The sequence below is a fragment of the Homo sapiens genome, chromosome 7 (genome assembly GCF_000001405.40).
Source record: "Homo sapiens chromosome 7, GRCh38.p14 Primary Assembly".
NCBI classification, from domain to species: domain Eukaryota; kingdom Metazoa; phylum Chordata; class Mammalia; order Primates; family Hominidae; genus Homo; species Homo sapiens.
In genome coordinates this window covers 122,810,447-122,834,045 of record NC_000007.14, presented here as the reverse complement: position 1 = coordinate 122,834,045, position 23,599 = coordinate 122,810,447, and the positions used below count along the sequence as shown (strand labels likewise).

The 23,599-nt window shown below is 37.9% G+C and overlaps 1 protein-coding gene across 28 annotated transcripts in view, besides 1 other annotated feature; it reads left to right on the top strand.

Annotated features, from left to right (window-relative positions):
* CADPS2 (calcium dependent secretion activator 2) overlaps positions 1–23,599 on the top strand; it is a 568,050-nt gene that overhangs the window by 52,415 nt on the left and 492,036 nt on the right. The gene's annotated exons all lie outside the window — the stretch shown is intronic.
* Positions 14,257–15,109: an enhancer, noted in NCBI's record as "H3K27ac hESC enhancer chr7:122458991-122459843 (GRCh37/hg19 assembly coordinates)". NCBI's record gives its function as "activates a minimal SCP1, AML or CMV promoter by ChIP-STARR-seq in primed H9 embryonic stem cells {active_cell/tissue: H9 hESC(primed)}" and the evidence as "EXISTENCE:reporter gene assay evidence [ECO:0000049][PMID:30033119]".

Sequence of the window (23,599 nt, the reverse complement as noted above, 5' to 3'; positions counted from 1 at the left end):
TTTCTGTATGTCCGTCTTTTTTTCCACCCAGGCTGCAGGCTTGCTTAAGAACCAGCTCAAATCTGTTTCTCATCTAAAACCTTTCCAGGGCACCCCAATCTGATATATATTTTTTGAATTCTTATAGCAATTGTTATGTCATGTTCCAATTAATCAAAGACTTTTATTGTTAATTTAAACTGTGCTTTAAAAAACTTCTTTAATGCTATTGAGGTGAATTTTTTAAGGGTGCCGTCTTTGGGTACATGTTGAACATTGAGAAGTAGAAATATACTCTTATCTTTTACCTTTTAAGAATATTTTGTTACTTAACCACTTCTCTTTCTTCAGCCTTAGTATTTAAACATAAAGGCCAGGCGTGGTGGCTCATGTCTGTAACCCCAGCACTTTCGGAGGCCGAGGTGGGCAGATCACTTGAGGTCAGGAGTTCGAGACCAGCCTGGCCAACATGGTGAAACCCCATCTCTACTAAAATTACAAAAAAACAAAACAAAACAAACAAACAAAAAAAAACAAAGCTGGGTGTGGTGGGAGGACGGGGGCACTTGTAATCCAAGCTACTTGGGAGGCTGAGGGCTGAGGCAAGAGAATTGCTCGAACCCGGGAGGCAAAGGTTGCAGTGAGCTGAGATTGTGCCACTGTACTCCAGCCCGGGCAACAGAGCGAGACTCCATCTCAAAAATAAAATAAAATAAATAAATAAAGCATGGTACATATCAATTTATTAATTCTTTCTTGAATTGATTTACAATAACAATATGGTGAAAAATGGTCAATTTTAGTAGTACTTAAAACAGCGCAAACAACTAAATACCATTTCCATCTATTAGATTAGACAAAGTTTTGAATTCTGTAATCACCTGTCATGTTGCCATGAAAATAGTGTCTCATGTGATCAAAATTAGGTAAAACAAACATGTTACAGACAGAACAAAGGCTGGAAGGAAATATGAAGATGTTAGTAGTAGTTGTGCATGGATAGTGAATCTATCTTTTTTCCTCCCTAGATGATTGTTTCTCACAATTTTTCATAGGAAATAGATGTTAGAATGCCATATTGCTGTTCTGCAGTTAAAGACGAGAAATGTATTCACATAATCTGGGAAGGGAAACAAAAGTGAAGAGAAATGCACTATTTCATTATAATTAAGCTGTCTTTTTTAAAAAAAAGCCAGCAGTCTCTCATTCTCAGTATAAAAATTGCTTCATTTCATAGAAAAAGGGGAATTTGGGTGATACTTGCATGGATCTTACTATCTTATGGCAGTTCCCATATTGTACTGTGATTTCTCCACTATTAAAGTTTTGTCAGACACATTTTTGAATTACTTCAGTTTATATTTGTAACCAGCATTTTAACATCTGCTCAGTTTAACATATGTGATGTTTACTTTTGTTACCTTTCAGTGGTAAAGCCAGACAACATTACTGCCATCCACTCCCACAGATATGCTGGTAGGTCTCTGGTAGCACAGGCAGAGGAGGTCTAGTTGTATTCTACCATTATTTAATGCAGATGGAAGACTAGACCCAGGGAAATATGCGCTTATATCTCCAAATGACCGCTGGACAGAGATGGCTGCGTAAGATTAACTTAGGCTTTTTGAATGTCACCACATTTTTCTTGCACAGTTGATACAAGAAAAGGGTCACTTAGAAGACCAGGTCTCTAAGCTCACACTTTTTAAAAGTTTTACTTACTATTGTGTGTGTGCACACATGGGTGGGTTTTTTTTTTTTTTACACACTTTTTGTATTTGTCTATCTCCAGTTTTTTTTCTCTGTTTTACCTAAGACCTTGATCTTGAAAACTGTAATTTTGCCAAAATACTTTAAAGAAAGTAACCTGCTGATGGTTTTGAGGGGATTACAGTATTTATTTAAATGTTTGTTCACCATGAGACTAGAATTTCATTAAGGGCAGAACTGATTTTTCATCCATGTATCTTGACAATGCTTGATACATAATTGGTAATCATTAGATATTTTTGAATGGTTTTAGAGTGAAATATATACATGTACATAAACCATAACTATACACCTAAAGTGAGAGTATATTATAGCATAATTTATGTTGCATTCATATAACCAGGATGACAGCATCCACTCTTCTCTTTGGAGTATTGAAATATAGTTTTTTTCTCTCTAGATTGGTGCTTCCCTTTTTAAAGACAGACTTTCATTAGTTTTCTAGCATGGCAAGAATATTATAATTTATCACAAACCAGTCTTTCATTGTTATATTTGAGAGTGGAGCTGCAGTAGCCATCTCAGTGTATGCCTTTCTTCTGTATGGTCCCCTCTTACAGCACTCAGAGTAAAAAGGGATCTACAGTTTTTGGCAAAATTGCTTTATTGGGAGAGTGATGAATTTTTCACAAGTACAGGCTTTGGCCTGTGCTGAGATGGAAAGCTAGAAGTGAGGTTCAGGCGGTTGAAATTCTATTGGCAGGAATTCCAGGGACTTAATGTGAAACAGCAATTCTTTCCCTCCTCCAGGAAGAATTATTGAAGTACTTCCCCATTTGGGGATATAATTCAGGTCCTTTTACTTTAAAAATGAGTTTTATTTACATGTCTCCAATTGAAATACAAGTGTGATTATAAGTTCTGATGGGAATTTCCATAATTGAAGATACTGATGGTTTTTGAAGACTAGAATGTTTTTCTTTTTTATGGTACAAATGACATAGGGTTACATTTCCAGTTGAGCGAAAACACCCAAATGACAGCACCAGTAATGAACAGTCATTTTGTTGCTTGAGATAGTGGTGTATTATAGGACTAGTTGCTTACACCTTTCTTGATGGTGTGATGTTGGACTTGGTTTCCCTTTTACAGTAAGGACAGGAGTTGAATAATAATAATAACCCCAGTTGATTATGTTCAAGAGAAAGAAGGAAAAGGAGGCTGACTTTCTTGTAGGTCATTGAGTTTTGCATGGTAGTGCTTCTTCTAGCACAACTTCTAAACTTCTCTTTCTCTTTCAGTAGCCTAATAGTAGGGCCCCTAAATTTTAATTTCTCCATTAAATTTAATAAAACAATATTCTGATGTTGGACTTTTCTTCCTGTTTCCACTCAAATCCTCTAGTTTTTCTATTTGTTTTTAAGTTCTGAGTGGTGACAGATCTGATTGCTTTTTTATAATGAGGACATTTTATAAGTACTTTATTTGTAGTTTCATGGTTTTATACCAGAGATTTGCAGATGGAAAGCATTAAGTGATTCTGTTTATTAAATAGAATGAGATCGTTTAATAGCTAAAAGAGATATTTTGTTATTGGACTTGAAACTATCTTAAACCTTCTTTTAATTTTGCAGTCCACAGATTGTTTGCTTTATGATGAGACTTTTTGCTTTTCATGTTTGTTCTCAGAATAACCTATGAGATAGAAAATTGAAGACGCCTCAGCATTGAAATCCAATGTTTTTGCATTTGTTACAAATTGAAATATGCAAATTGTTGAAAAATATTCATTATCCTTTGCTAATGCGCTATATATGGGAGCAATTAAATTTCCTTTTAGTTTATTTTGATAACTACTGTTTGCTTATTTTAAAATTGTTGCATGTTATTCAGGAGTATTTCACTTCTTTGCAGACCTTTTGAGATCAGTGAGATTTGCATCCTTTGATTTTTTTTTTTTAGCAGTGTCAGAATAAGAATATTTAACTGATTTTATGCTGTATTTGTTGCAGTGTCAATGAATGGAATGCCATTTGTTTTGTCCTTATTTCTCTTAAAATAGAATCCTTGTTTTAAAGATTTGACATTTATTTTGCCTTTTTATCTTGCAGCCAGACATGCACTCCTTTGGTGATTTCCTAGGGCTGAAGTCTCTCTGCATTGTGGTGTTTGGTTAAGATCCAGAGACCTTGGAGACAGACTACCTGGGTTTGAATAGCGGTTCTGCCTGTTACTTGCCGTGTCACCTTGGGCAAGCCAGTTAACCTTTCTGTGTCCAAAGTTTTCTCTCCTTGAAACAGTGATAATGGTCCCTACTTGTACTGTTTTTTTTTTTAATATGATATTGTGGTATAAGGCATAATGAATAGTTATATAGTACACCTCATTTTATACATAAATAGGTATCTCATCTCTCTTGCTCTTCTTACTGGACATCACAATGTTTGGAAAAGTGGCTGCCCATTTGCTATTTTGAATTAGCTTGGCTTAAATAAATTATTTGATTGGTGACTTTTGAGATACAACACCATCTTTAAGGCACCATAGAAGGATATTGTAATTAATGAAGACTTCTAAAAATAAATATTATAACATAGAGGTTTTATTTTTACTTCTGAATGTTTTCTTAAAAGACACCTTTCAAATTATATTTTTACAGTGGTTCTAAAACACACTTAATACATGAAATGATGGAAGCTGATGGCTGGAAGTTAAAAGTGAAGTAGACTGTGTAACTGTTGAACTATGTCACAAGCTTTTTGTATGCATTTTTCACGATATATTTTAAAAGATAGTTTAAATTTAGTTTAACATTTACCTTTTTTTCCATAGGATAAATAAAAGTTGATTTGAGTGTGGCTTTTGCACACAAGAGTAGGAATCTGAGGAGTTGGTCTTATAATTACCTATATATAAGACTCATTTCTCCTTGTAAAACACATTTGTGAACTAAATTGATCCAGCGATGTTTCCTTCAAAGTGTGAAGGGGAGAGCATTTCTAATCCTTTTGGATTCTCTGCTTCATCCTAATGTTGAAGGAAAAATATGGCATGTTTGAATTTATTAGTGCCAGTAGTATAAATTTTATATATTACTTTAAAATGTGGTGAGTAGAAGGTTGGTGAGAGTGGAGGACAGTGCTTTTTGATGATGAAGATAATACCTAGGTTCTATTATTACTGACCTCAGGCTGAGCACACCCTGACAATAATGGACCTGTTCCTTCTTAAGGAAAAACAGAATAACATCATCATATTTTTGGTATCTGATTTTGTATTTTAGAATGTTCATTTAGAGATGAAACTTTTAAATATATAATGCTTTTAAAATGATTTAAAACATTCGCACACATGAGGTCCAGAAAAGATGGTATAAGAGATAACCAAAGGAGAAGTCTAAAATGTGGTAAGAAGGTGAGGCAGCTTGGGACAGCACAGTGGTAGGATACATTCTGTTCCCCCAGACTCAACAGAAGTCCACCCTGACCTAGCATTTCTTGACCCATGGCTTAGAATATTATCAAGTGCTAGAACAGAGCTATCAGCTGCAGGTGTTGTATCCAGTAAAGCTATTATCCAGGAAAGTAAAAGGGGAAAAAACAGTCTCAGATGAAAGAAGGCAAAGAACTTGTTGCTAACAGACTTTTGCTTAAAAGTTGGCTAAAGTTCTTCAAAAAGAAAGGAAATCATAGAATAAATCTTAGAGAACCAGGAAGAAGGAAGGAACAGATAACTTAAATATGAGTACATACAATAGGCTAAACTTGTCTCCGTGACTTTTATAAATTATATTTGATTTATTGAAACAAAAATTGTAGTGCCATATAATACTCAAGACAATGATATTTTAAAGTGATGAAGGCAAAGAGAACTAAGTGAAAGTGAGATTTCCAGAGGAAACAAGTAGAAAACACACATCACAGACTTAATATGAACATCTCAATAATTATCTTAAAAATGAAAGTTCTAAGCTTACAAAAAACAGAGATAGAGTGGATAAAAAAAAAAGGAACCCATTATATGTTGCTTACAGGAAACTCCCTTCAAATTCAATGACAGGTAAGTTGAAAGTAGAAGAGAATAATTATACCATGTAAATGATAAAAAATAGTAGAAATGGTTATATCAACACCTGATAATTTAGGCTTCAAAGAAAATAAAATTATTAGAGATACTAGTTCTAGACAAGAAGTTATTAGAGGCAACATAAGATGACAGGGTAAACCTACCACAGAGACATGATGATCCTAAATGGATATGTATCAAACAACAGTGCCTCAAAATGAAGTGAACATTAATAGAACTGAAAGGAAAATCAGACATCCACAGTTATTGGCAGGGACTTAAGCATTCCCCTCTCAAGCCAGTGTTGATAGAACTACTAGACAAAAATCAGCAAGGTCATAGAAAATGTAAACAACACAAACCACCACTGAATATTGAACCTGCCTTGCTGAAATAAATTCCACTTCACCATAGTGTAGAATTCTTTTTATGTGTTGCTGAATTCTTTTTGTTGATATTTTTTAAGGAGTTTTGCAATTATAGACATGAGTGATACTTGTCTGTATTTTTTTTTTGTACTGTTTTTGTCTGATGTTGATATCAGGATAATGCCACCTTCATAAAATGAGTTAGGAAGTATTCTCTCCTACCTTTTATCCTGGAAAAATTGTTTAGAATTGTAGCTAATTCTTTTTTCTTTTCATTTCTTTTTTTTTTTTGAGATGGAATTTCGCTCATGTTGCCCAGGCTGGAGTGCAATGGCACGATCTTGGCTCACCAGAACCTCCGCCTCCCAGGTTCAAACGATTCTCCTGCCTCAGCCTCCCAAGTAGCTGGGATTATATGTGTGCACCACCAGGCCCAGCTAATTTTTTATTTTTAGTAGAGACAGTGTTTCTCCATGTTGGTCAGGCTGGTCGCAAACTCCCAACCTCCCAAAGTGCTGGGATTACATGTGTGAGCCACCACACCTGGCCAATTATAGCTAATTCTTTAAATATTTACTAGAATTTTCTTTGAAACCATCTAGGGCTGGAGATTTTCTTTTTTGGATATTTTTAAATCACAATTTTAAATTTCAATTTCCTTAGTAGTGAGAGGGCTATTGAAATGATCATTTTTATATTGAGTGATCTGCAGAAGATTGTGTTTCTTCAGGAATTGGTACATTTTTCTGTAAGCTGTCATATTTTTGAGCATCAAGTTGTTCATAGTAGTCTCTCATATTTTACTGGCTATAAGATTTATAGTGATAGCACCCATCTCATTCTTGACATTGGTGTTTTGTGTCTTCTTATTATTGTCTCTTTTTTTGTTACTGTTGCTGGAGGTTTACCAGTTGTTTTTCTCCCCAAGATCCAGCTTTTGTTTGATTTTCCTTTGTTGTTTTCCTATTTTTAATTTCATTGATTTACGTTCTTATGTTTATTATTTCCTTCCTTTTGCTTGCTTTGAATTTATTCTTTTTCTGGGTTCTTAACGTGAGAGATTAGGTTATTGTAGACATTTTTTTTTCTAATCTATGCATTTAATGCTACAAATTTTCCTTTCAGTAATGTTTTAGCTGTGTTCCACAAGTTTTAATGTGCTGGGATTTTCTTCTGTCCTGTTTTCCATTTCAGTGATCTTTTCCCCTGTCCCATCTATTCTGCCACTGAGTCCAACCAATGCATTTTTATTTTGATTATTGTATACTGCATTTCTAAAATTTCTTATTTTTTTTTCTTCATAAATTCTGTTGCCTTGCTGAGATGTTCTTTTCCTTTGCTGAGGCTTTCTATTTTATATTCATTTATTTTAAGCATATTTATGATTGTTTATTTTTTATTATGGCCACCTTAAAATCTTTGTCAGATAAATCTAACATTTCTGTCATTTCTGTTGATTATCTCTTTTCATTTAGTTTGAGATCTTCTTGGTTTTGGTTATGATAAGTGACTTTCTGCTGAAACCTAGCTATTTTTGTATTATGTTATGAGACTTGGGATGTTGTTTAAACTTTGTGTTTTAACTGGTAGTTTTGGATACTGCTCCAGCAGCATTTTCCATGAGAAAGGAGAACACTGCCTTCTTAAGTCCAAATGGAGGTAGAAGTGCAGGTTCCTCACTCAGCCCTAGTTGGCATGGGGATGGGGCTCTTTATCACTCCTGGGTTGGGGTGGGATTTCTGCCTGTCTCCTATCTACAGATGCCATGGTATTCCCACTGGGTGATGATGAAAGTCGCTACTCTCCACTAGGCCTACTCTGTCACCACTTCAGTGGAAATGGAAGGGTGCTGCCTTGCTGTATGGGACCTGAAGTTAAGCTCCCCATGTTGTCTCCATGGACACAGGAGGTGGTAGGATCTTGTTACCCAGTGTGCACCATAGTTGTAGCTTGCTACTTGGCGTTCTTACACCACCCTGGTATTAATGTTAGGCACCTTTTGAAATTCTCTCCAGAGCAGAATTCTACGCTCCCACTTGACCTTGGCTGGCCTGGAGGGGACGTGGGCAAACTTGAATTAGTTAGATGGATTGTATCAAAGTCAATATACTGGTTGTAATATTATACTGTAGTATTGCAAAACATTAACATTGGGGCATGCTGACATTGAATGTCTTTGTGTTATTTCTTACAACTGCATATTATTCTGCAATTATCTCAGTAAAAATTTTAATTAAAAAAAGTTAAAGAATGTAAAGATAAAAATTAAGGAAAAATGTTTGTTTTCAGAGTCAAAACAATATATAATAAGATATATTCACAAAAATCTTTCAGCCCTGTTTCCTTTACCTTGTTCTTTCTCTGCTTCTGTAAGTAATCATATTAACCACTTTTGGTCAATCTTTCTATTGCTTCTTTTGGCAATCCTTTTTTTGTTGTTGTTTTTCCCATTTTAATTTTATCTCTCCCTCCCACTCATAAGGAAGGTATTATATTGAAACATTATTTGCACCATGCTTTTTCATTTAGTTGTTTTCCTTGAGATCACTCTGTATGAGAGATCTAGAGCTTTTCCTCATTGCCTTGAATGGATGAATCACAGTTTATTTGCTTTTACAATTGATGGCATGATATCCTCATGCTTGGGTTATTTTCTATTTTACAAAGTGTATTTTGGGAAATACTACAGATGGGATTTCTGAATCAACAGTAAACATATTTGTAACTTTGCCACAATTTTTAATTGTGGAGACTTTATAACATTTAATATCTGTTAGGGCTAGACAACCTCCCTCCTCATCCAGTTACTGCACTTTTTCTAGCTATTTTTGCTATTTATTTTTCAACCTTGAACTCTTTATTCAACCTTTGAAAGACATGTGGATTGTTTTTAGTTTTTGGCTATTGGATAATGTCTCTGTTACTTTTTTCGTTTCCTTGGCCAAAAATTTAGTATATGAAAATGATAGCATCTCAGTCAGATCAGTGAGAAAAAGATGGACTTTTTAATAAATAGTGTTGGAACAACCAGATAGCCATATGGAGAAAGATAAAACTAGATGTGTTCCTCACATGATATACTAGAACAAATTCCAAATTCCGGGTAACTTCTAAATATAAAAAATAAAATCATGCAAGCACTTAGGAGTGGAGGAAACTCTCCTGTATATGATTCAAAACTGAGAAACAATTAAAAAATCTTAATACACTGACATGGCAGAAAACCTCATAAGCAGGATTAAAATACTCTGACAAATTTTGGAAAAAACATGCAGCCTATCATAGCTAAAGGACTAAAAGTATTTATTTGTAAAGAACTTCAAAAAATTAGGAAGATGTAATAACTAAATAAAGAGCAAAGGATATGAACAGACAGTTAAAAGAAAACTAAATACAAATGGCCCTTTATCATATGAAAATATACTTAATTCTCAAAAAAATTAAACTGTAATGAGATATCAGATTGTCAAGAATCCAGAAGTTTAATATTTGTTGCTGGCAGAGCTTCAAGAAAACAAATACTTTTAGACATTGCCTATGAGTTCAAATTCACCAGTGCCTATATGAGAGTTGTGTTGGCGGTAATGGTTAAAAGCATGGACCTTATATTGAGATGGACCTTAGCTCTTACTAGCCATGTGACCTTGCACAAGATCCTTATCCTCCCTCAGTTTTAGTCTTTTCATCAATGAAATGGGCAATCATAAAAATATTTATCTTGGGTGATTGCTGTGAGAATCAAATGATATAAGCAAACACTCAGTTTACTGTATTATCTATATTTTTTTCAACTTTATTTCTTTTAAATGTTGGGTGATAATTTTTAAGGGATTAGGAAATGTAGAGTAAGCCATTAACTGCAGATCAAAGGGACAAAATGATATTTTGAGTCTGAGACTGGGAAAGTACAAGCCAATGTCTTTTGCATGTGTAAGTTACTGGGGTTGGAAGATTGGAGTGTGGAAATGGAGCTCTCTACTGAGGCAGTACAGTAGAACTCCCAGTGAGCTTTTTTTTAAAAAAACAAGGAACACCCTCCTGCACAACCCCTGAGTCTGATGCTTACCTACTGGAATAGATGGTGAGGAATCTGGGCAGAAGAGAAGGGTGAACAGGTGCCAAGTGGAGGAGAGAGACTTCCAGATACTTGGTTTCGGAGTTAGGTCTATTCCAAGTCATATATTTTCTTAAATTTTCTGAGTTAACTCTCAGTGAAGTCTCTGTTACTTGCAATGAAAATATTCCTTCTAATTGCATCCGTTCTCCATTCATAGTTAATTATAGAGCCTTGCTACTGAAAGTCTACGGACAGGCAAGATCAGCTTTACTAAAGATTGTTAGAAATTCTGATTCTCTAGTCCCACCCCCAAGCCTACTGAATTAGAATCTGCCTATAAGCACGCTCTCCAAGAGACTTCTATGCACATTAAATCATATGAGAGGCATTTCATAGCCAATACTCTTATAGTAAACCTGTCTGGGGGCAGGGGGTAAAGTAAACAAGGGGGAGGGGAGCAGGAGAGAGATTCACTTATGTTAAACACTGTATACATATTATGCACTAAATATCTTACATTTAGGAGATAGACTCGGATCTATACATTTCATAGAGGTGGAAACCAAGGCAAAAGGAAGATTTTTTCCCCCTAAAATAGAATGGCATTGTGCAATTGAGAAATTACTATGAGATGACCATTAGATGTTTCTTTAATGATAAAGATTGAATTTTTTTGGAGTATACTCCTTGCTATAATTCTGTTACAGATAATCAGATTTAAAATGTACAAAAGATCTGAATAGACTTTTCTCAAAAAGAAGACATGCAAATGTCCCAGAGGTATATGAAAAAATGTTCAACATCACTAATTATCAGAGAAATACAAATCAAAACTATAATGAGATATCATCTCACCTAGTGAAAATTTTCATGCGTGTCCATGTGAAGAGACCACCAAACAGGCTTTGTGTGAGCAACATGGCTGTTTATTTCACCTGGGTGCAGGCGGGGTGAGTCCGAAAAGAGAGTCAGCGAAGGGAGATAGGGGTGGGGCCATTTTATAGGATTTGGGTAGGTAAAGGAAAATTACAGTCAAAGGGGGGTTCTCTGGCGGGCAGGAGTGGGGGTCGCAAGGTGTTCAGTGGGGGTGCTTTTTGAGCCAGGATGAGCCAGGAAAAGGACTTTCACAAGGTAATGTCATCACTTAAGGCAAGGATCGGCCATTTACACTTTTTTTGTGGTGGAATGTCATCAGTTAAGGTGGGGCAGGGCATATTCACTTCTTTTATGATTCTTCAGTTACTTCAGGCCATCTGGGCATATACGTGCAAGTCACAGGGGATGCGATGGCTTGGCTTGGGCTCAGAGGCCTGACATTTCTGCCTTCTTATATTAATAAGAAAAATAAAACAAAATAGTGTTGAAGTGTTGGGGTGGCGAAAATTTTTGGGGGGTGGTATGGAGAGAGAATGGGCGATGTTTCTCAGGGTTGCTTCAAGCAGGATTAGGGGCGGTGTGGGAACCTAGAGTGGGAGAGATTAAGCTGAAGGGAGGTCTTGTGGTAAGGGGTGATATTGTGGGGATATTAGAAGAAACATTTGTCTTATAGAATGATTGGTGATGGCCTGGATACGGTTTTGGATGAATTGAGAAATTAAATGGAATAACAGAAGGAGAAAAACAGGTATAAAAGGTCTAAGAATTGGGACGACTCAGGATATCTGATTAGAGAGTGCCTAAGGAGATTCAGCATAGTCCTGCCCTCAAAGATTATTTATTTACTTCAAGAGTTAAGAGTGGCAGTTTGGGGATAGCACCAGGAGATATCAGCTGTGATGGCTTGGAAAAACAGTGTAAACCGGCAGTGTAAACAAGAGCAGGGCGTGTATGAGTAGTTGAGAACGGTGAATAGGAGTATGACTAGACAGAAGATAGTAGGGATGACAAGTTTTTTGGGGCACAGTCTAAGTTGGTCTGGTGTCTGGAATGAGACTGGGGCCTAATAAAAAGGAGCATCTATACAGGAGCTTAAATGGGCTGTACCCTGTAGCATTCCGAGGACAGGCCTGAATTCTGAGAAGGGAAAGTGGTAAAAGTATTGTCCAGTCCTTTTTAAGTTGGTGGCTGAGCTTGGTGAGGTGTATTTTTAAAAGACCTTTAGTCCATTCTACTTTTCTTGAAGATGGAGGACCTTAAGGGATATAAAGGTTTCACAGAATACTAAGAGCCTGAAAAACTGCTTGGCTGATTTGACTAATAAAGGCTCACCTGTTATCAGACTGTATTGAGGTGGGAAGGCTAAACTGGGGAATTATGTCTGACAGAACGGAAGAAATGACTGCGGTGGCCATCTCAGACCCTGTAGGAAAGGCCTCTACCTATCCAGTGAAAGTATCTACCTAGATTAAAAGGTATTTTAGTTACCTGACTCAGGGCATGTTGAGTAAAGCTAATTTGCCAGTCCTGGGTGGGGCAAATCCTTGAGCTTGATGTGTAGGGAAGGGAGGGGGCCTGAATAATCCCTGAGGAGTAGTAGAATAGCAGATGGAACACTGAGAAGTTATTTCCTTGAGGATAGATTTCCACGATGGAAAGGAAATGAGAGGTTCTAAGAGGCGGGCTAGTGGCTTGTACTATATAGCATAACCTGCCTTTGCTGGTGTGTGGTGATTAGGCCTGGTGGAACCGCCATCAATAAATCAAGCATGATCAGGGTGAGGAACAGGAAAGAAGCAAATTTGGGGAAATGGGGTGAATGTAAGGTGGATCAGAGAGATACAGTCATGGGGGTCAGGTGTGGTATCAGGAATAATGTGGGAGGCTGGATTGAAGTCTGGGCCAGGAACAACAGTAATTGTGGGAGACTCAACAAAGAGTGAGTATAGCTGAAGGAGCCAGGAAGCAGAAAGTATATGCGTCAGGTATGAGGAAGAAAATAGATTTTGGAAGTTATGAGAACTGTAGAGAGTGAGTTGAGCATAGTTTGTGATTTTGAGGGCCTCTAAAAGTATTAATGCAGTGGCAGCCACTGCATGCAGACATGAGGGCTAGGCTAAAACAGTAAGGTCGGCCGGGCGCGGTGGCTCACGCCTGTAATCCCAGCACTTTGGGAGGCCGAGGCGGGCGGATCACGAGGTCAGGAGATCGAGACCATCCTGGCTAACAAGGTGAAACCCCGTCTCTACTAAAAATACAAAAAATTAGCCGGGCGTGGTAGCGGGCGCCTGTAGTCCCAGCTACTCGGGAGGCTGAGGCAGGAGAATGGCGTGAACCCGGGAGGCGGAGCTTGCAGTGAGCCGAGATCGCGCCACTGCACTCCAGCCTGGGCGACAGAGCGAGACTCCGTCTCAAAAAAAAAAAAAAAAAAAAACAAAAAACAAAAAACAGTAAGGTCAAGTTGTTTGGACAGAAAGGCTACAGGGTGTGGTCCTGGCTCTTGTGTAAGAATTCTGACCACACTAACCATGCCTAGGAAGGAAAGGAGTTGTTGTTTTGTAGAAGGTGCTGGGGTTTGAGAGATCAGTCGGATGCAATTGGCAGGGAGAGCACGTGTGTTTTTATGAGAATTATGCCAAGATAGGTAACAGATGAGGAAGAAATTTGGGCTTGATTGAAGTAATGGGGGCTATCTGTGAAGCTTTGTGGCAGTGCAGCCTAGGTAATTTGCTGAGCTTGTTGGCTGTCAGGGTCAGTCCAAGTGAAAGTGAAGAGAGGCTGGGATTAAGGGTGCAAAGGAATAGTAAAGAAAGCATATTTGAGATCTAGAACAGAATAATGGGTTGTAGAGGCAGGTATTGAGGATAGGAGAGTATATGGGTTTGGCACCACAGGGTGGATAGGCAAAACAATTTGGTTGATTAGGCACAGATCCTGAACTAACTTGTAAGGCTTGTCTGGTTTTAGGACAGGTAAAATGGGGGAATTGTAAGGAGAGTTTATAGGCTTTATAAAGGCCATGCTGTAGCAGGCTAGTGATAACAGGCTTTAATCTTTTTAAAGCATGCTGCAGGATGGGATATTGGCGTTGAGTGGGGTAAGGGTGATTAGGTTTTAATGAGATGGTAAGGGGTGCATGATCATGCCAAGGAGGGAGTAGAGGTATCTTATACTTGTGAATTAAGGTGGGGGGATACAAGAGGAGGATGCAAAGGAGGCTTTGGATTGGGAAGAAGGGTGGCGATGAGATATAGCTGTAGTCCAGGAATAGTCAGGGAAGCAGATAATTTAGTTAAAGTGTCTCAGCCTAATAAGGGAACTGGGCAGGTGGGGATAACTAAAAAGGAGTGCTTAAAAGAGTACTGTCTAAGTTGGCACCAGAGTTGGGGAGTTTTAAGAGGTTTAGAAGCCTGGCTGTCAATACCCACAACAGTTATGGAGGCAAGGGAAACAGGCCCTTGAAAAGAAGGTAATGTGGAGTGGGTAGCCTCTGTACTGATTAAGAAGGGGACGGGGCTTACCTTCCATTGTGAGAGTTACCCGAAGCTTGGCGTCCGTGATGGTCTAGGGGGCTTCCAAGGCGATCGGGCAGTGTCAGTCTTCAGCCGCTAAGCCGAGAAGATCTGGGAAGGAGTCAGACAGAGAGCCTTGGGCCAGAGTTCCAGGGGCTCTGGGAGTGGCTGCCAGGTGAGTTGAACAGTCCGATTTTCAGTGGGGTCCCACACAGATGGGACGTGGCTTAGGAGGAATCCTGGGCTGCGGGCATTCCTTGGCCCAGTGGCCAAATATCTGGCACATGTAGCAAGCTCCTGTGGGAGGAGGTTCTGGAGGAATGCCTGGCTGCTGCAGTTCAGGCGTTTGGAAGTTCTTGTGTGCTGGAGATGTGGCTGGGGTTTGTCTCACAGTGGAGGCAAGGAATTGCAACTTTTTTCTATTATTGTTCACCTTGAAGGCGAGGTTAATTAAATCCTGTTGTGGGGTTTGAGGGCTGGAATTTAATTTTTGGAGTTTTATTTAATGTCGGGAGCAGATTGGGTAATAAAATGTATTTTGAGAATAAGACGGCCTTTTGACCTTTTAGGGTCTAGGGCTGTAAAGCGTCTCAGGGTTGCTGCCAAACAAGTCATGAGCTGGGCTGGATTTTTATATTTGTTGAAAAAGTGCCTAAATGCTGTCTGATTTGGGATAAAGAAAAAGGAGCATTAACCTTGACTATGCCTTTAGCTCCAGCCACCTTTTTAAGAGTAAATTGCTGGGCAGGATGGGGAGGGCTAGTCAGGGAACAAAACTGTAAGCTGGACCAGGTGTGAGGAGGGGAGGTGATAAAAAGATTATAGGGTGGAGGAGCAGATGCTGAGGAAGAATTGGGACCTAGCTCGGCCTGGCAAGGAGCAGCCTGGGGAGGAAGGGAGAGGTCAGATGGGTCTGTAGAAAAGGAAGATTAGAAAGACTCAGTGATGCTTGGGGTTGGTACTGAGGGGACAGGCGGGAGGGAAAGAAGGAAGATTTGGGACGAGTTGCACTGGGCACAGAGACTAGGAAGGGACTGACGTGTAAAAGAATGCCTGGACGTCAGGCACCTCAGACCGTTTGCCTATTTTACGACAAGAATTATTTAGATCTTGCAGGATGGAAAAATTCAAAGTGCCATTTTCTGGCTATTTGGAACTACTGTCGAGTTTGTATTGGGGTCAAGTGGCATTGCAGAAGAAAATAAGGCATTTAGGTTTTAGGTCAGGTGTGAGTTGAAGAGGTTTTAAGTTTTTGAGAACAGAGGCCAAGGGAGTAGAAGGAGGAATGGAGGGTGGAAGGTTGCCCATAGTGAAGGAAGCAAGCCTAGAGAAAAGAGGGAGTAGAGAAATGGAGGGAAGGGGTTCGGGGGTTCTTACCTTCCAGAAAAGTAGGAAAAGGGGTTGGGGTGCAGAGATAAGAGGTTGGGGCATGGAAATAAGGGATGGGGCACAGAAATAAGGGATGGGGTGCAGAAATAAGGGGTCGGGGCATGGAAATAAGGGGTCAGGGCACGGAAATAAAGGGTCGGGGCACAGAAATAAGGGGTTGGGGCACGGAAATAAGGGATTGGGGCACAGAGATAAGGGATTGGGGCGCAGAGATAAGAGGTCGGGGCATGGAAATAAGGGATTGGGGTGCAGAGATATAAGAGGTTGGGGCATGGAAATAAGGGATTGGGGCGCAGAGATACGAGGTTGGGGTAATTGCCCCTCTAGAAAAGCAGGACTTGCCGCTAAGAGTGAAGGAGAAGGGGTTGAGGGGTACTTGCCCCTCCCGCAGAAAAGCAGAGAAGGGGTAGAGACAAGGAGAGAAGGGATTGGGGTACTTGCCCCTTTCCCAGAAAAGCAGGACTTGCCACTAAGGGTGAAGGACCAAGGCAGGCATCCCTGGGTGGTCTGACACCTTTGAAACGTGGGTGAATAATCAGAGAGGCGTCCCTGCAATGATTAAACACCAAGGGAAGGCTGCCTTCCCAGTCTGTGACCGGCGCCAGAGTTTTGGGTCCACGGATAAAACGTGTCGCCTTTGTCTCTCCCAGAAAATGAAAGGAATTGAAATTAAGAGAAGGGAGAGATTGAAGAGTGGAAAGGAGAAAGTGGTTGAGGGACAGTGATGAGAGAGGTTGGAGAAGAGAATAAGAAGAGGCCGCTTACCTGATTTAAAATTGGTGAGATGTTCCTTGGGCTGGTCAGTCTGAGGACCTGAGGTTGTAGGTGGATCTTTCTCATGGAGCAAAGAACAGGAGGACAGGGGATTGATCTCCCAAGGGAGGTCCCCCCATCCGAGTCACAGCACCAAATTTCATGTGCGTCCGTTTGAAGAGACCACCAAACAGGCTTTGTGTGAGCAACATGGCTGCTTATTTCACCTGGGTGCAGGCGGGCTGAGTCTGAAAAGAGAGTTAGCGAAGGGAGATATGGGTGGGGCCGTTTTATAGGATTTGAGTAGGTAAAGGAAAATTACAGTCAAAGGGGGGTTCTCTGGCGGGCAGGAGTGGGGGTCGCAAGGTGTTCAGTGGGGGTGCTTTTTGAGCCAGGATGAGCCAGGAAAAGGACTTTCACAAGGTAATGCCATCATTTAAGGCAAGGATCGGCCATTTACACTTCTTTTGTGGTGGAATGTCATCAGTTAAGGTGGGGCAGGGCATATTCACTTCTTTTATGATTCTTCAGTTACTTCAGGCCATCTGGGCATATACGTGCAAGTCACAGGGGATGCGATGGCTTGGCTTGGGCTCAGAGGCCTGACAAAAATGACTTTTACAAAAAAGACAGGCAATAATGGATGCTGCCGAAGACATGGAGAAAGGGGAACTCTTCCTACAGTGTAACTGAGAATGTACATTCACAAAGCTATTATGGAAAACAGTATGGAGGTTCCTCCAAAAACTAAAAATAGAACTACTGTATGATCCAGCAATTCCACTGCTGTATGTCCAAAAGAAAGGAGATCATAATATTTAAGAGCTACCTGTACTTTCAGGTTTATTGCAGCACTATTCACAATAGCCAAGATATGGAATCAACGTAAATGTCCACTGATGAATGGATAAAGAAAATGTGCACATGTACCCACAGGGATATTATTCAGCCATAAAAAAGAATGAAATCTTGTCATTTGCAACAACCCAGATGGCACTGGAAGACATTATGTTAAGTGAAATAAGCCAGACACAGAAAGACAAATTTTGCATGTTCTCATATTTGGGAGCTAAAAAAATCTAAAAAATAAATTGATCTCGTGGAGATAGAGAGTAGAATAATGGTTAGAAGAGGCTGGGAAAGATAGTGGGTAAGGGGTGGGTGGGGGTGGGGAAAGATAAAGAAGAGTTGGCTAGTGGTTAAAAAAATAGGAAGAAAGGATAAGATCTAATGTTCAGTAGCATGATAAGGTGACTGTAGTTAATAATAATTTATTGTATATTTCAACATAACTAAAACAGTGGAATTGGAATATTCCTAGCACAAAAAATGATAAATACCTGAGATGATGGATATCCTAATTACCCTCATTTGATAATTAACATTGTATGCTTGTATCAAAATTTCACATGTACTCCTAAATATGTACAACTATTAGGTATCAATAAAACTTTTAATTTTTTTTTAAATTAACCTTCGAGAAAGCAGAACTTCCTTGTCTTTTCTTTCTGCTAATTTGGTTAATTCTTTAGCAAAATGATTTCAGTTGGAGCTGCTTTCTGACAGTAAAATGGAAACAACTTCTTCTATCAGTGACTGCTAGTTTAGTGGTAATAATGGATGTGGCTTTATAATGATGTAGAAATTTATATGGATTTATGCTCTATCAGCTTTGTCGATGTCTAACGTTTCGCTGCAATATATTTTGAATTTTTTTTGTATTTCATTATTACCCATGGATTTTTTTTTTCCTCCAGGTCTATTGCTATTGTGTTTCTGTTTTTCCCTCTTAGAGCATGTCTGCCTTCTTGAGTGAGACAGGGAAAACTTATACTTGTTTTCATTGACTTCTAAATGAGGGTTAATGTTTTGATCTTTTGTTACAAATTGTGGATGAACTTTTCTGAGGTAAGGCTTTGTGAAATTAGCTGTTATCGGCTTTTCCAGATGTGGGATAAAAGCAGTATCATTTGAATAACTTTATAGCTCTTGAGTATTCCTTGGGACCTAGGCACATTTCTTGCCAGAAGCAAATTAGCTAACATTTTTGTTTTGGTTAGGAGTGCATCTCTAGTAGATGAGCTTTGCAGACTGACTTAACAGTTTAACTAGAGGAAACAAACCTTACATTATGTGTAGAATGAAATTTTAATGATGTGCAGGAGTAACACGCTCAAACCACTTTCTTTATTGTAGCTATGTTGCAGTCTATATGGAAGTCTCTGTTTTGTTAAACCTCTTTTCTTTAGATCTTAACTCCTTCTTGGCATTGGCATATAAAACTGCATGCTGCTGCTTGTTTTTGTTTTTAGCCTTTCTGCCTTCTAAGTTGGGTTCTTTGTGCAAGAGTTCTGGGGCCGACCTAGGAATAATTCCACACAGCTTGTTATAGTAAACAGAGCCTGAATCCAAATTGTCTAAAGGAAGTTTCTACTTACCCAGAATATGGCAAATTTAATGAAACAATGTACATTCCATTTGATGGTTGACATCATAGTTTCTTGATTCATAGTAATTCTTCTCAATAAAATAGCGAAATGCTGTTTATTTTCAATTCCATGTAATGAAAACAACGGATTCAATTTAATGTATGTGTTAGATTAGGGGTTAGCAAATCTTTTTTTGTAAAGGGCCACATGGTAAATATTTTATGCTTTATGGATCAGATTGTCTCTGTCTTGACAGTTCAACTCTGCTGTTGTAGTACAAAAGCAGCAATAAATTGTACACAAATGAATGAGTACGGCTGTGTTCCAATAAAACTTAGTTTATAGACACTACAATTTTAATTTCTTATAATTTTGACATGTCATGAATAATTATCTTTTTTCTTTTTAGCCATTTAAACATGTGAAGATATTCTTAGCTTTCAGGACACACAAAACCAGTTTGCTGACCTCCAGAATATAGAATTTATTATTTTTACCAACCATGTTATGGATCTAGTGGTGTGATTCAGATGCTTCTCTGAGTAATCCATTTGATGTATCAAAAATCTGTTTGTTTTGAGCTTCACTAAGTTAAGAAGATATCATGTCATCATTTTGCTTAAGTGGTCTGCTTAGTATAAGTCTCCTTAATTTGGTTATTTCTGTTAAGATTTTACTAGTCACGTTATTACCATCAAAACCTCTGCTTGATTTTTTTTTTTCCCTTCCAAATTCTTACCATGTTATCATATAGGAACCAGAATAGCTTGGTTTAGTTAAGAACTTTGAAGTCAGCTTCCACATACCCAGGTATGCTATCTGGGCCAAGTTACTGAAATTTTTCTCAGACTCAGTTTACTTAGCTATAAAATGGGGATAACATGACTAGCTTTGCCCTTACGTCCTTGTATACACATTGACGAAGTAATTTTTAAATCAAAGAATTGAATCTAGAATGGATAGTCAATATTACCTTAAAACTTTCACTCAGCCCTCACATCTCTCTGGTTAACATTTTATGGGACTTATTTATTTGTTCAGCATTAATTTAAGGGAAGATATTTGAAAAAATGGGAAGTTAGTACATATATGGTTTAAAAATAAATATAATCTATTCATTAAGTATTTTCCAATATCCACTGTCTTTTATTGTGCTCTACTAAAAATGATGTTACCATATAAAGCCTCAAAAAATAATTGGGATAAGGCTTTTCCTTAGAATAATGCGGTTTTTATGCAATGAAATTGTCAGAATGCCCCTTTGCAGCCTCCATGCATTTCCAGGCGTTTACTTAAGTCCAACTTGATAATAAAGTTCTGCTTTTAAGAACATTTCTGCATTTGAAAGACTCAGCATAAAAAAGTGAGGTAATTTACGAGTGACAGTAGTTTTGAATGGTTTTTGACTAGAGAACTATAAACACTCCGTTGATGGTAATAAACAATTTGAAATGATGAGTTATGTAATTTCACAGTAACGTTTTAGCAAAGAGACTTAAATGTAATTATTACAAATTAGCATAATTAAAAAATATAATTACTGTAGGTTGTTCATATAATTAAATCTAAAAATTGGACTTGTATAGAAAATTAAAGTGTTTGTTCCTTTTCATGATTTTGCTTTAAGTATGTTTTCTTAATTGGGAGTGGGAAAGAAGAAAAATATGTAAAATGTAGGTATTGACTTACTTCTTGCAGGGAGGGTCAAAGAAGCTTGGTACTGATGGACATAATTAGCTTGCAGTTTTCTCTAGGATAATAACACCAACTTTTTAAAAACTTTTTTTTCCGTACCTGTGCTGCTTTGAAATCTGATTGAGCAGAGGAAGAAGAATGGAAAGTGATAGGGCCTCAGTCCTGTTATTGAGGCTTTTCCTGCTGTGTCCCATATTGGATATATCACCAAATAATCTGATTACTAGATTTTGGGGTCCAAGGCCCAATTGGCAAACAGCCCATAGAGAATGAACTAAAAACATCCGATGTGTTTTCAGTGTGCATCAAACAGTAATGTTGGTTCTGTAGAGTAAGTTTGTACTAGTGCACTGTAGTTACTTTAAAAATGGCTGTAATGGTAGTAATAGAACTAGGTTTTATCTTTAGCATCTGGTCTGCCATAATACCTGGAAGGTGGTAGGGGCTGTATTATTTGTTGAATGAATAACCATCATGTGTTGGGAGCACGGTGGAGAGAGTCTGAAGATAAATAAGACATTGGTCCTATCATAAAGAAAGCAAACTCTCCTCTCCCCCTGTCCCACCAATATACACACATTTTTTAGGAGAAAAAATAGAAGACTTATTATTTGAAAAATGAATTCCAGTACCTATTTTTGAAAATAAAATTCAAGCCATTACCTAGGAATTCTGTTCGATCCTACAGTTATTCCCACCTAATTCATGACAGGTCCTGGGCTAGCTGCTGGGCCAGAGCCTCTACTTTCTTTTTTTCTTTCTTTCTTTGCTTGCTCTCTCTCTCTCTCTCTTTTTTTTTTTTCCAAACAAGTGTTTTTAATGGTTATGATTTCCACCTTAAAAAGACATTTAAATTTTTTTATATTTGTTTTCTACATTTATCATCTAATAGACTTTTTAGCTTTAGCATTGTTCAAAGTTTTACAACATTATAGCTAACCAGAATAAGTGCTACTTATTTTTTTTTACTTCAGTTTTCTATCAATGGGTCATGAAACTCTTTTAGAACAGTTCTTTACCAACATATATAACCTCCATGAATATACTAATTTTCCATCTTATAGATGGGGAATTGATTTGCTTCAGGAATCCCTGGGGAAGACATTAGGACAAGTAGAATCTTTAGTCCTTTGGGACTTCTATCTGCTAAGTTCTATGAAAGGAAATATAGAGGAGTGAAAAAAAAAAATAGGTGAATTCCCAGATTAACTGAGGACTGAGAATACTGAAATTCTAAAGGAGGAAGAGAACAGTAAATAAGTGATTGAGTGGATAATTAAATGAAAGAGAGTTTCTTCCACTTAGCAAATGATCTGTCTAATCAGTAGTTCTGTTTAGCACAGTGTCATGTAATAAAATGTCCTTGAAAAAAACTGATTCTTTATCTCCGTGTCTAAGAAGCCACTTTTATCTGGGAAGGATATCAAAGAAATATGTTGACGTACTTAGGTAACTATGACATAGGAGAACAAGGTACTTTTATCTAATATGCACCAAAGACCATAATTTGTTTTTAAAAATTACCATTATACATGTCTGTCGTCCCTTTTTTTGTTTTAAAATATTCAGATTTAATAGCTATATTATAGATACATGGGTTTTCAATTATTGGTGACTGAAAACCTTTCTGCTGGCAGGTATATTATCTTAATCTTAGTTAAATACTAAAATGCAAATAGTTTAAATTACTTTAAAAATAAATGGCATAATATGTAAAAACATGAAAAATTATTTTGAAAGTCCAAAATTATCCAGATATTCAATTTACTAGAAGCAGCTACATTTTGGACTCTAGAAAATCATGCTAGATGTTCATCAACATATCCAAAGATAATTTTATAGCTGTGTTATTTTGCTGATTAGGAAATAGGGACAGAAAAGTTAATCACCCCTCCAGATTAACTTGGAAGGCAGCCATATGCTACTTACTATCTAAAGGACCTTTGTAATTTATTTGTCCTTACTTTTCTCATCAGCTGAATGGGAAAGCAATCATTTACAGGGTGTTACTAGAAGAATTGAATGAGATTATATGGGTAGCACATTGCCTGTGGACAGCATATGTTCAGAAAATGGTGGTTCATTTGCCTATCTTGTCAAAGTTAAAAATAGCTATTATTTATTAGAAAATGCTTTTCTTCCCTCATTCCATGTGTTTATCAGAACGTGACATACTCTAGTTTACCAAAGGGATCTTGCTTTCATATGTAGTTTATACAAGCACTAGAATATATTAGTTGCCAACATCTAACACATTAACAGAAGTAGGAGGCAAGATGGATACAAACAGCTAAATCAGTATTAAGCAATATTTTTTTAGGCTGGGCATGGTGGCTCATTCCCATAATCCCAGAACTTTGAGAGGCCAGGGCAGGAGAATCACTTGAAGCCAGGAGTTTGATACCAGCCTAGGCAACATAGTGAGACCTCATCTCTATCAAAAAATTTTTAAAAATTAGCCAGGCACTGTGGTGTGTGCCTGTAGTCCCAGCTACTCATGAAGCTGAGGCAGAAGGATCACTTGAGCTAAAAAAGCAAATTCCTGAGCCCCAGACCTATCTAACAATATAGATAAAATCCTGCGAATAAATGGTTATATTGCTTTCTTAAACATTATTACATTATTACATAGCCTGTTGGGAATCAGCTCCTGGAATCTACGTTTTAAATAGGACTTAAGGACTTAAGGTGATTCTTTTTACTTTAAAGTTTGAGAATCCCTGATTACTGTGGTCTCCAAAATTCCTCAACCAGTTTCTTGAGAAT